Below are 13,369 nucleotides of genomic sequence, written 5' to 3' on the forward strand. Positions count from 1 at the left end.
CTCCCACCAACAGTGTAAAAGCATTCCTTTTTCTCCACAACCTTACTAGCTAGCGTCTGTTGTTTTTTGACTTTTTAATAATAGGCATTCTGAGTGATTCTTTACATTATTCAGATATTCTTTCCCATGCCATGTAATTTCTGTTTTCCCCCTTTTTTTAACCCCACGCCATTGAAGTTTCTTAAACCTATGTAATGCAGGACCATCTGTTCCAGGTATAGTTTCTTTTCCCCAAACTTGAAGCATCTAATTAAACAAACATGCATGGTATGTATTAGAAGGAAAGCTACTCAAGAGGAGAGATGATGCCTAACAAATCATGTGGCACGTTCCACTTCAGAGCTGAAATCTCGTAAATGATTAAACTGGGGAGATGGAGCACTTATAGAAGTGAACTGAGTGTTCTCTTGGTAACTTTTCTTTTATATTTCCTATTCTCCTAGCATGGGAAGCATGACTCCTCATGGGTTGAAGAATTGTTAATGTTACACAGAGCACGGATCACAGATGTTGAGCACATCACTGGACTCAGCTTCTATCAACAAAGAAAAGAGCCAGTTTCAGACATTTTAAAGTTGAAAACACATTTGCCAACCTTTAGCCAAGAAGACTGATATGTTTTTTATCCCCAAACACCATGAATCTTTTTGAGAGAACCTTATATTTTATATAGTCCTCTAGCTACACTATTGCATTGTTCAGAAACTGTCGACCAGAGTTAGAACGGAGCCCTCGGTGATGCGGACATCTCAGGGAAACTTGCGTACTCAGCACAGCAGTGGAGAGTGTTCCTGTTGAATCTTGCACATATTTGAATGTGTAAGCATTGTATACATTGATCAAGTTCGGGGGAATAAAGACAGACCACACCTAAAACTGCCTTTCTGCTTCTCTTAAAGGAGAAGTAGCTGTGAACATTGTCTGGATACCAGATATTTGAATCTTTCTTACTATTGGTAATAAACCTTGATGGCATTGGGCAAACAGTAGACTTATAGTAGGGTTGGGGTAGCCCATGTTATGTGACTATCTTTATGAGAATTTTAAAGTGGTTCTGGATATCTTTTAACTTGGAGTTTCATTTCTTTTCATTGTAATCAAAAAAAAAATTAACAGAAGCCAAAATACTTCTGAGACCTTGTTTCAATCTTTGCTGTATATCCCCTCAAAATCCAAGTTATTAATCTTATGTGTTTTCTTTTTAATTTTTTGATTGGATTTCTTTAGATTTAATGGTTCAAATGAGTTCAACTTTGAGGGACGATCTTTGAATATACTTACCTATTATAAAATCTTACTTTGTATTTGTATTTAAAAAAGAAAAATATTCCTATCCTGCTCACTGGTAATTAACATAGGTTTAAAATGGCTTCAAATGTGGCCCTATAGACGGTTAAAATTGTACCTTATCTTGGCAAAACTTCAGAGCACCAGTCAGTGCATGCAAGGTGCCATTTTTTATTGAGATGCTTAGAATGTTTCTTTCTGTGCACAAGACTTACCCTACCAGCAGCAGAGCCATTCTCTGTTGAGTGGTTCATTTTGAAGTTCCACAGATTGAAGAGAACATGCCACCAATCACCTCACATCTTCTTGGTGGACATGATAAATGACACAATGAACTTGATTTCTTTACTACCTTGACTGTAGCTTTTTATCCCTACCTGTGAACCTTCAAAGACTGCATTAACTTTTAGGCTACATAGGTCCAATTGAGGTATAATATCAGTACACCAAAGATTTTTATATGTCCTTCGTGTGACCATTCTTCAACGGCCTAAGGGCCAGCTGCAAAGACTTTTGGAAAATACAATTTACAACTCAAAATTATTTAATAATTTAGGAAGTTGCTTTTTTTTTTTTTTTTTTTCAGTCCTGCAGTTTCCTGAAGCTCTGTATATGATATTTTTTTCAGCCTGCTTCTCTCTGTTGTTCAGATTAGGTAATTTTATTCTTCTGTCTCGAAGCTCACTGATTCTTTATTCTGTCTAATCTGTTCTGCTGTTGAGCCCATTTATTCCTGATTTTTATATTTTAGTTATTGTATGTTTTATTTCTAAAATTTCCATTCAGTTTTTCTTTATATCTTCTATTTGCTGAGAATTTCTGTCTCTTTGCTGAGACTTTCTACGTTTTCATTTGTTTCAAGTGCATTTATACTTGCTTGTTGAAGAATTTTTATGATGGCTGCTGTAAAATCCTTATCAGATAATTCCAACATCTGTCACCTCATTGTTTGCATCTACTGATGGTCTTTTTTCCATTCGGAAACATTTTCCTGTTTCTTGGTGTGTGGAATGATTTTTTATTGAAACCTGGATATTTTTAGGTATTATGTTATGAGACTATGGGTCTTATTTAAACCTTCTGCTTTAGCCAACTTTCTCAGATACCACCACAGCAGGGGAATTGGGAGCACTGCTTCATTATTACCAGGTGTGGCTAGGAGTCCAGGTTCCCCAGTCAGCCTCCCTTTATACTGAGTAACAGGGTCCCCTCATTACTACTGGGCAAGGTGAGAATTCAGTTTCCCATTAGGTCTTTATTGATTCTTCCCTGGCTGGAATGTGCAGCGGCACCTTTTGGTGCACCCTGGGAATCTCCACTAATGCTATGGGACAGAGTGACCAGGAAGAGCTTCATTACACCAGGTGGGAATGAAATTCCCAGTAGCCTACACAGCCTTCTCCGACACCACTCTGGAGTTGTATTCTTCCAGCACACAAACATACACAATTTAACTCAAAGCATCTTAGCAGAGCTTAATTAAATGGATAGATGCCTGTTCCCTTTGCTGGATACCAAGAATACAAAAGTCAGGGAGTTGGGGCACCTCTTTACAGCTTGGTGAGAGTGTAAGTCTGGACTCCCCACTCAGCATTTGCTGGTATGGGTGGGGCCATGGTGTTTTTCCATGGTGTTTGGTTGGAGTACAGCCTTTTTTACCCTTGCTTGGCTACCCTTTTCTGGTCCTTTGGCAGGAGAGAGCAGGACTCTCTTAGGGCTTTTTTTTCCCCTGCATTTATTGACATTTCCAGGTTGCTGACTTTTTCAGCTCCAAGTTGGAAATATATGAGCTGAAAAGAAAATGTAGGGAACTCATCACAGTGTTGTTACTTGGGCCCCAATGTTCCTAGCCTATTTTCTGTCTACTATTCAGAGTCTTGCTGTGTTTTAATATAATATCCAGGATTTTTATATGCATTTAGCAGAAGGATGTCTACTCTGCCTTTGTAGAAGTGTCTCACTGATTTTTACATATTTTTCCAGCACACAAACATACACAATTTAACTCAAAGCATCTTAGCAGAGCTTAATTAAATGGATAGATGTCTGTTCCCTTTGCTGGACGCCAAGAATACAAAAAAGAACAAGTGACAATTTTCTCTGTCTTAGGGAGAAGAGACAGCAGAAGTGTAAATGATCCCTAAAGAGTGATAGATGTTATCATGAAGCCACAGGAGGGGTGCCAGGCTGCACAAAAGAGACACTGGATGCTTCTTGGTAGTAGAGGCAGTGGCTTCCCAGCCTTGGGGCTAAGGCTTGTAGGGTGAATTGGAACTTTTCAGATGAGCAAGGCAAAGAAGGGACCTTCTAACATTCCTTGGATGGAACATTTTTGACATTTTCCCATTTACAGCTACTTATATTTTCTACAAGTGTCACTGTGACCAACTTATGTACACATACTTTTTCTTGCTTAGTTATAATAATCTGTTCTTAAAGAAAATGTCAGTCTCTACATTCTATGCTGACTGTTAAGGAAAGAGCACCCACATCTGCTCCTACTTAGCTTTTTTTCTGTGGTTCTTACACAGTATTCCTTTTTTTCTTTTCTTGAAAGAGACTCCTCCTTTCTTTTCTTTTCTTGAAAGAGTTTTAAACAGATAAGATGGCAAAAGTGACTGATCTCTACTCCCCCAGTTTGAATGGTAAATTTGAATGGTAAATTCCCATGAACATATATGGAAATGTCTTTATCCTACTTTCTCCAATAAAGGCTGTTCTTAGCTTTTCAAATGCAAAGTGAAACCTTTATTTATCTTGATTTCTTTTTTTTTTTTTTTTTTTTTTTTTTTTTTGAGATGCTCTGTCACCCAGGCTGGAGTGCAGTGGCAAGATCTTGGCTCACTGCAAGCTCCGCCTCCCAGGTTCACGCCATTCTCCTGGCTCAGCCTCCCGAGTAACTGGGACTACAGGCACCTGCCGTCACGCCTGGCTAATTTTTTGTATTTTTAGTAGAGAATGGAGTTTCACCGTGTTAGCCAGGATGGTCTCGATCTCCTGACCTTGTGATCTGCCCGCCTCGGCCTCCCAAAGTGCTGGGATTACAGGCTCGAGCCACTGCCTCCAGCCTATCCTGATTTCTACTGTCATGCCTCACATCAGTCCTTTTTTTTTTTTTTGAGACAGAGTCTCGCTCTGTGGCCCAGGCTAGACTGCAGTGGCATGATCTCGGCTCACTGCAACCTCCACCTCCGGGGTTCTAGCAATTCTCCTGCCTCAGCCTCCTGAGTAGCTGGGATTATAGGCGCATGCCACACCTGGCTTTTTGTATTTTAGTGGAGATGGGGTTTCACTGTGTTGCTCAGGCTGGTCTTGATCTCCTGAGCTCAGACAATCCCCCCGCCTTGGCCTCCCAAAGTGCTAGGATTATAGGCGAGAGCTGCTGTGTGCTTCTTAAGTGAGGTAAGTAACTTCCATAGAAAATTTCCATCAGTTCATTCATGAAAGAACAAAGAACCTGGCAAAACTTAAAAAAACGTTTCCAAGAATCAGATAAAAGAGGACAAACCTTAGGGAGAAGAAGGCAGCTGCTCATTTCCAGCAGGGGAAGTAGCTGCATAGAGTACAAGGACTGGTAGGCCTGTTGGCTGTTCCTGTTTAAGGAGACAAGATGGGCATGGAACAGGGACCACCCCCTCCTCTGGGAGAAGCTGTTACCCCCTTCACTTTTCCTCCTCTGTCATTACCCACAATCACTCTCCTTCTTTGCGCTATGGTAGGTGTTTACCCATCATAGGAATGGGCATTTGAACTTTGAAACTGAATGTGGTGATTACACTTCATGCTGAAGCTTTTCACATGAGTGCTTTCATAAGCATTAAGTAAAATTTTATAATGACTGCAGTCCAAGGACATTTTCCCTGGTTTTTGGCCAGTCTAAATATTGTAAGAGAGAGAGAAGAAAAGTGTACGGAATATAATTGTCTCTAAGCTAAGAAATGTGGATGTTCAAATAAAACATACGTACAGAACTCTGGCTGCTTTCCTTTGTGGCTTTGTGTGTGGAGGATGGGTAGGATCATGGGCGATGGTGCTTCTCTGCAGACATGAAACTGAGTCCGAGGGTTGTTGACAGTTAACCACAGCTGTAATGCTGAAAGGCAAAAGAATCCAAAGTTCATTTCAGGTTCATAGAGTAAACACTTCTGATCTGTGACCTATATCCTTGTTCTTGGTATTTTAATTATATTTAGTCATACTTCCAGGTAAAAACAAATGACAGGCATATATATTCTTTAGTATTTAGAATGGTCTGGAACCAGACTTGGAACTTCTATAGATTCTTTTAATGTGAAATTTTTGTATTTATCCTCTCCATTATAGTGATTGAACAAAAAAATGTTTACTAGAAATCATATTCATACCAGAAAACAGATATGTGAAATACATTTTAATCTACTAGAAATGGAAGAATCCTTGGAAGAGGCATTATACTCATGGGATGTCAAAAGGAAGGAATATAAAAGAAGCCTCTTTCATCCTACTCAATGCTGTTGTTTTAAATTTAACTTTTTACTTGCCTGTAACTTCTCGATTCAAGGGATAGTTTTAGGATTTTAATTAAAATGACATTTTAAATGATATATCAGAAATTCAGAACTCAGAATGGAATATACTTTGGCTTTCACATAGTAGAGATACAAAATAATTGAAGAAATATATAGGAAATAAATTTTTTACAGTGTCTCATACAGTGTCTCATAATTTTGCCCCACAATGTTTAGATATTTTTCACTGTTAAAAAATGTATGCATTTACTTAGATGGCATTATGCTGGCTGTGACATAAAGGAAATAAAACAGGGATCTCTGAACCGAAAGTTTATAACTTAACTAAAAATTCTAAAGGATTTTAAATTAGACTGAAATTTTCTCAGTCCAATGAATGGATCTTGTTCAAATTTTTATAGTTTAAAAAATCACTGGCTGGGCACGGTGGCTCACGCCTGTAATCCCAGCACTTTGGGAGGCCAAGGCGGGTGGATCACGAGGTCAGGAGATCAAGACCATCCTGGCTAATATGGTGAAACCCCATCTCTACTAAACACACACACACACACACACACACACACACACACACACACACACACACAAAATTAGCCAGGCGTGGTGGCAGGTGCCTGTAGTCCCAGCTGCTCGGGAGGCTGAGGCAGGAGAATGGCATGAACCCGGGAGGCGGAGCTTGCACTGAGCCGAGATGGCGCCACTGCACTCCAGCCTGGGTGACAGAGCAAGACTCCATCGCAAAAAAAAAAAAAAAAAAAAAAAAAAAAAAAAATTCTTATGACACCTACAATTTTGGATTCTCTGTTATATTCTATATCTTGACACAATGTTACTGTCTGGAGAGTTAACCACTTGTACTAAGGTCCAAACAGAAACAAGATGGTAAATCTATGGGTCTTTTGTCTGTGTACTTGTTCATAAGCTATCTCTACAGGTTTACTCAACAGCACACTTTAAGATATTGGCACTGGAATAGATTTTCCCAGCTCAGGGTTGACAGTAGATTTCAAAGCTGAGCTTACTCTGTGTCAGGCATTAGGGGTAAGTTGGAGAACAGGGCAGGTGGAATGCCTGCCCCCTTGGTGCTCTCTTGTCAATGTTTTACCTTTATTTCAAGGTCCAGCCCAAAGCCATATCCTTAGGATCCATTGTTTATGTGGTCAGACTTTCCCAACATTGGTGGTAACAGACAGTACATGCCCTCAGTCTAGTTCTTGTTATGTATTATGGTTGCAATACAACTACAGATGTGTAATGCAGTTGATTATTCCATAACCCATACACAGTGTTGGTAGATGGCACCGTGGCCTATTAAGAAATTTTACCCAGGACCCAGACTCCAAATCCAAATACACAACTTGCTAAAAGCAGTCTTTGCAAGCTTAACACGAAATAAAATAATTTCAAAGTGGTGTGGTTATAGGTATAAGAGGATTGTTAGCTTCCACTTGGGGTTTCCAGGGACCTGGCGGGATCTTATCCTACAGAGAACACCAACCTCTTAAGGAAACTGGGAAGCCCAGAGAAGCTGCGCCACCTAAACATTTCCCAGCCTGTGATCCTGTAAGAAAAGAAAAATAGCTCAGGGCAGCCTGAGCTGTGTGAGGCATGTAGAATTTATTAGGCCCAGAGAGATGTGAGTGTGAGACTTTATTCTTACCACCCACCTCCCGCCATGCCTAGGGGCAGTTGTTTAAAGTCATTTCATTCCTTATTAGCTGCCTCACTCATTATCCTCACATGCCTGGAGTTTGTGATGCAAAGAACAATGTATAGCAAGTTATGTTGTAACAATGTATAGCAAGCTTATGTTACGTTGATGTAACTTCTTGGTAAACAATTTAGGAACTGCCTCTTTTTTCCTTTAAAAACTCACTTGTAACTGCTGCTAATTGGAGCACACATTCAGGGCAAACTTGAATCCATCCCTCTGGGTTACAATTCTCAAAACTGGCCCAAATAAACTCTGCTTATATTAAGTTTCCTTCAGTTTTTTCTTTTAGGTTAACATCAGTTACATTTGCTTAGACTGTATACTTTGAGCATATTCCTGAAAACTGTAACCCTGATGAGATTTATGTGTCCCAAGTGTGCTGTTTCACAAGTGTAATCACCTGATGGGTTCTTCCTGCCCACTGACTAGACAAAACCAATTCACTGAGATTGTGACATTGTAGTAAAGAAAGCATTTAGTTAATGTTAATCTAGCTACATGGCTCAGAGGTTAGGGTTTTTCAAGGATAGCTTAGTAGGCATGGGACTGGGGAATGGGTACTGCTGATTGGTTGGGGAGGCAATTATAGGGGTGTGAAAACAGTCCTCATGCATTGAGTCCACCTCTGAGTGGGAGACCACAGGATTGGTTAAGTCATGAGTCATGGGTCCAGGTGAAGTCAATTGCCAGAATGCAAAAATCAGAAAAATGTATCAAAATATCAATCTTAGGTTCTACAATAGTGACATTATCTATAGAGACAATTGAGGAAGTCACAAATTTGCTTCACTGGATTGAGTGAAGACAGCCAGCCTGTGAGGCTAGAAGCAAGACAGAGTCAGCCACGTTAGATTTCTCTCACTGTCATAATCTTTGCAAAGGCAGTTTCACAGGGTGAGAGCTCAATACTGTGGGATTGTTTTTTTCAGTGACTGTAACTCTCATTCGGCATTTTAGCATCTGTATTAGTCCATTCTCACACTGCTATAAAGATATACCTGAGACTGGGTAATTTATAAAGAAAAGAGGTTGTTTAATTGGCCCACAGTTCTGCAGGCTGCACAGGCTTCTGCTTCTTGAGAGACCTCAGAAAACTTACAATCATGGCAGAAGGTGAAGGGGAAGGAAGCACGTATTCACATGGCCAGCAGGAGAGAGCAAGAGCATAAGGGGATGGGCTACATACTTTCAAACCAGATCTCATAAGAACTCACTTATTATCATGAGAACAAGGGGAAGTCTACCCCCATGATCCAGTCACCTCCCCTCCGGCCCCTCCTCTAACAGTGAGAATTGCAATTTGACATGAGAGTTGGGTAGGGACACAGACCCACACCAAGTTGGCATATATTTCTTACAAAGATAGTTTCCTTTTCATATGTTTATCGTCATTGTGTTTGTCTGTTTGCATTGCCATACAGGAATACCCACAACTTGGTAATCTAAAAAGAAAAGAGGTTTATTTGCTTCACAGTTCTGCAGGCTATGTAAGCATGGCACCAGCATCTGCTTGGCTTCTTGTGAGGCCCCAGAAAGCTTCCAATCATGGCAGAAGGCAAAGGGTGAGCCAGCATGTCACATGGAAAGAGAAGGAGCAAGAGAGAGAGGGAGGAGGTGTCAGGCTCTTTTAAACACTAGGTCTTGTGTGAACTCTTAAGGTGAGAATTCATTAGCACAAGGACAGAGCCATTCATGAGGGATCCACCCCCATGACCAAAACACCTCCCACCAGGCCCAACTCTGGCATCGAATATCACATTTCAACATGAGATTTGGAGGGGAAAAAACCATCCAAACCATATCAGTCATGTCTCCAAAACCATCTGTTATTTCTAGCATAATGTCTGGCACATCGGAGTTGCTCAGTAAAAAATGTCCAGATGAATGAAAACCAAAGGTACAGTCATACCAAACATCCACTTAAGACAGCTAAGGAATAACAAGTTACAGAAATACAGCCAGAGGACAATTTCACAGTAATTATTCTTTGCCTCCGTAGTTTTCAAGTGCTAGAAGATACTTTCAATGGGAAATTTTTTGAAAGAGTTTATTTATAGATCTCTTCCCAGTGCACAAAGCAGAATTTTTAAAAATAATAATAAAAGAATAAGAATACTTTTCAAGAGCCATTCACAATTGTTTCAGTTAATCTGTCCTGTGGAAAGTCTGCTGCCTGGTGAACTGAAGGGAAAGCGTGAACTTTTCAGTTTTGACATCTCAAATGAAAACCTCTCTACAAAGCACATAGTGTTTCTCCAGTGACAAGCTATCATAAACATTCACTGGCAAAGGTGGAGACACAGGGTAGTGCCTCTTGGTTCTCACATCCCTCAACTCCAGGTAACACCTTCTGCTATGAGGAAAAGCACATCAGTGCTACTGGTGTTACTACCCCAGTAGCAAACACACTGGGGCATCTGGAACAAATAGATTTTGGGCAACTTTCACACACTTTACCAAAGAGGAGAGACATTTTCTCACCCTCCCTCCTATCTTTGAAATTCAGGGCAATGGAGTTTAGCATTGGCTAAGTTAGTAGTGAAGTGAATTAGAGGTAAACAAAATTATCCCATCCATCAGGTGTCTGATGGATAGTTGACAGTGAAACTGAAATATGGAACATAAATTTTCATAGACCCAATGAATCAGCAATATTGTGATAACCAAGACATCTCTGAAATAGATCAAATACAAATATAAAAATAATCATAGCTATCATTTACTGGGTTTTGTTCCAGACATTGTGCTAAATGATTTACATTATCCAAGCAAGAATTTGAACCCAGGACTTGGCAAAGTTCATATATTTAAACAATACTGTATATTGTCTCCTCTGAAAGCACATTGAAAATGTTCCTGTTCTTTCATTAAGTTCTATTCCATCAGTAGTTGCATTCTAAACCAGTTATTCTGGCTTGAATTCTGCTGCACTGCACAAGACATTTGTTTTGTATCATCTTCCTTTCCACTTTCAAGCATTTGAGTTCACACCTGTTGACATTCTTTCTAGTCCCTCATAGAGGAAGTGTAACTCTTTTTCTTTCAGACCTGATGCCTCACTTCCTACAAGGCTTTGTTTCTCAAATCACACACACACACAGCCCCCCCCCACAAACACACCTGTAATTCCCACCTCTGTACTGCTTCCATCTCTCTTCTTGAATATGCTCTTGTCCTTCCATTTTTCTATTGTCTTTACCCCATTCCTTTTGTTGCCTCTGGCTCTCTTAGGCTTCTCTTTACTGTGGGACAGGACTAATAGTACTTGGTTTATATTTTCTGTCTTTATTTCCTTACTAAGCTGTCCCTTTTTTATATGTCAGTTTCTTACTGCCTCCTAACACCTCCCCACCTCCCATAACCTCCCTTTTAAAAACAATAGAGATTTTCTAATGGCAGATTTTATTTTTATTTTGAAAATTAAAAAAAAATACTGTGAAGTATAAGGAAGAAATTAACAAGCATCCATGCAACCCATGACAGTTAACGTTCTGCCTTCTTTGTTAGCTTCTTGATTATTGCATTAATCTCTTTTAAAAATATTTTTCATCACTGTGATTATCTCAAACATTCCTATATGTCCCCTTGCTTTCATTTTTTATCAATGCTTATTATATTACCTGCTATTTCTAGTTTATTATTTCTATATTTTTATTTTTTGGGACCTGCTATTCCCTGTTTTAAAATCTCTTTCTATTGTTTTATTGTTTCTTCTTTGAGCTTCTTTTTATTTATTGGATTTGTATTCCTTCCTATCAACCTGTTATATAACATGAAACATTTTTTCAGTGTTTATTCTCAATTTTATCACCTGTATTTTCTTCTAAGTGGAGCAGGTGGAATGAGCCTTTCCTTTCTACCTTCCTCTCTCCCTCTATTTCTTTCTTCCCTCCTTCCTTCTTTTATTCCATCCTTCCTTGTTTCCTCTCTTCCTTTCTTTGTTTTATTGTTTTAAACCTATAGCATATTTACTGAGTTTAATGCCATTTCTTTTTATGTTATTCAAGATCGACATTCTATTTTACTCTGAGATGGATAGGTGACCATCTTCCAAATTGTGTCTGAGTTATTTGTTTCTTCCTTTACAGTGTCAGGGAGGAACATTTTGTAGCTTATCAACTTTTCTGAAGCCAAAAGGAAGGTTAGTGTCAGGCCTCTGAGCCCAAGCCAAGCCATTGCATCCGCTGTGACTTGCACGTATACACCCAGATGGCCTGAAGTAACTGAAGAATCACAAAAGAAGTGAATATGCCCTGCCCCACCTTAAGTGATGACATTCCACCACAAAAGAAGTGTAAATGGCCGGTCCTTGCCTGAAGTGATGACATTACCTTGTGAAAGTCCTTTTCCTGGCTCATCCTGGCTCAAAAAGCTCCCCCACTGAGCAACTTGTGACCCCCCACTCCTGCCCGCCAGAGAACAAACCCCCTTTGACTGTAATTTTCCTTTACTTACCCAAATCCTATAAAACGGCCCCACCCTTATCTCCCTTCGCTGACTCTCTTTTCGGACTCAGCCCACCTGCACCCAGGTGAAATAAACAGCTTTACTGCTCTCACACAAAGCCTGTTTGGTGGTCTCTTCACACGGACGCGCATGAAATTTGGTGCCATGACTCGGATCGGGGGACCTCCCTTGGGAGATCAATCCCCTGTCTTCCTGTTCTTTGCTCCGTGAGAAAGATCCACCTACAACCTCAGGTCCTCAGACCGACCAGCCCAAGGAACATCTCACCAATTTTAAATCAGGTAAGTGGCCTCTTCTTACTCTCTTCTCCAACCTCTCTCACTGTCCCTCAACCACTTTCTCCTTTCTACTCTTCAATCTCTCCCTTCTCTTAATTTCAATTCCTTTCATTTTCTGGGAGAGACAAAGGAGACACGTTTTATCCGTGGACCCAAAACTCAGGCGCCGGTCACGGACTGGGAAGGCAGCCTTCCCTTGGTGTTTAATCATTGCAGGGGCGCCTCTCTGATTATTCACCCACGTTTCAAAGGTGTCAGACCACGCAGGGACGCCTGCCTTGGTCCTTCACCCGTAGCGGCAAGTCCCGCTTTTCTGGGGAAGGGGCAAGTACCCCAACCCCTTCTCTCCTTGTCCCTACCCCTTCTCTGCTTTTCTGGGGGACAGGGCAAGTACCCCAACCCCTTCTCTCCTTGTCTCTACCCCTTCTCTGTTTTTCTGGGGGAGGGGCAAGTACCCCTCAACCCCTTCTCCTTCACCCTTAGTGGCAAGTCCCGCTTTTCTAGAGGAGGGGCAAGTACCCCAGCCTCGTATCTCTGTGCCCCAATCCCTTATTTCTGTGCCCCAACCTCTTATATCTCTGCACCCCAATCCCTTATTTCCACGCCCCGACCTCTTATCTCTGCACCCCAATCCCTTATTTCCGTGCCCCGACCCCTTCTGTACCTCATCCCTTATTTCCATGCTCCAACCTCTTATCTCTGTGCCCCAACCCCTTTTCCCACTTTTCTGGAAGGTAAGATCCCCCGAACCCCTTCCCTCCTTTTCTCTAGGCTTGCTTCTTTCACTATGGGCAAACTTCCACTCTCTATTCCTCCTTCTACTCCCTTGGCCTGTGTTCTCAAAAACTTAAAACCTCTTCAACTCACACCTGACCTAAAACCTAAATGCCTTATTTTCTTCTGCAATGCCACTTGACCCCAATACAAACTCGACAGTAGTTCCAAATAGCCAGAAAATGGCACTTTGAATTTTTCCTTGCTGCAAGATCTAAATAATTCTTGTCGTAAAATAGGCAAACGGTCTGAGGTGCCTGATGTCCAGGCATTCTTTTACACATCACTCCTTTCCTAGTCTCTGTGCCCAGTGCAACTCGTCCCAAATCTTCCTTCTTTCCCTC

General features: G+C 40.8%; 1 protein-coding gene and 1 long non-coding RNA gene across 5 annotated transcripts in view, besides 4 other annotated features; both read left to right on the top strand.

Annotated features, from left to right (window-relative positions):
* The window catches only part of ENPP1 (ectonucleotide pyrophosphatase/phosphodiesterase 1), an 87,136-nt gene extending 81,878 nt beyond the window's left edge, over positions 1–5,258 (top strand). Inside the window, exon 25 of the mRNA NM_006208.3 lies at positions 444–5,258. Coding sequence (NP_006199.2) covers positions 444–614 — 171 coding nt within the window. The 3' untranslated portion in view covers positions 615–5,258. The remainder of the gene's footprint in view (positions 1–443) is intronic.
* Positions 5,328–5,472: an enhancer, noted in NCBI's record as "145 bp enhancer 74 fragment used in the MPRA reporter construct; PK_construct_1823". NCBI's record gives its function as "activates an SV40 promoter by MPRA in HepG2 cells {active_cell/tissue: HepG2}" and the evidence as "EXISTENCE:reporter gene assay evidence [ECO:0000049][PMID:23512712]".
* Positions 5,394–5,407: a transcriptional cis regulatory region, noted in NCBI's record as "HNF4 motif; enhancer activity is reduced when this motif is scrambled". NCBI's record gives its function as "necessary for full MPRA enhancer 74 activity {active_cell/tissue: HepG2}" and the evidence as "EXISTENCE:site-directed mutagenesis evidence [ECO:0005528][PMID:23512712]".
* Positions 11,425–11,978: an enhancer, noted in NCBI's record as "OCT4-NANOG-H3K27ac hESC enhancer chr6:132222462-132223015 (GRCh37/hg19 assembly coordinates)". NCBI's record gives its function as "activates a minimal SCP1, AML or CMV promoter by ChIP-STARR-seq in naive and primed H9 embryonic stem cells {active_cell/tissue: H9 hESC(naive and primed)}" and the evidence as "EXISTENCE:reporter gene assay evidence [ECO:0000049][PMID:30033119]".
* Positions 11,979–12,531: an enhancer, noted in NCBI's record as "OCT4-NANOG-H3K27ac-H3K4me1 hESC enhancer chr6:132223016-132223568 (GRCh37/hg19 assembly coordinates)". NCBI's record gives its function as "activates a minimal SCP1, AML or CMV promoter by ChIP-STARR-seq in primed H9 embryonic stem cells {active_cell/tissue: H9 hESC(primed)}" and the evidence as "EXISTENCE:reporter gene assay evidence [ECO:0000049][PMID:30033119]".
* CCN2-AS1 (CCN2 antisense RNA 1) overlaps positions 12,055–13,369 on the top strand; it is a 200,374-nt gene continuing 199,059 nt past the window's right edge. For all 4 annotated transcript variants that reach the window (NR_187594.1, NR_187596.1, NR_187593.1 and 1 more), the window contains exon 1: positions 12,055–12,254. This is a non-coding gene — a long non-coding RNA (CCN2 antisense RNA 1). The remainder of the gene's footprint in view (positions 12,255–13,369) is intronic.

This window comes from Homo sapiens, chromosome 6 (genome assembly GCF_000001405.40).
Source record: "Homo sapiens chromosome 6, GRCh38.p14 Primary Assembly".
In the NCBI taxonomy this organism is placed as follows: Eukaryota; Metazoa; Chordata; class Mammalia; order Primates; family Hominidae; genus Homo; species Homo sapiens.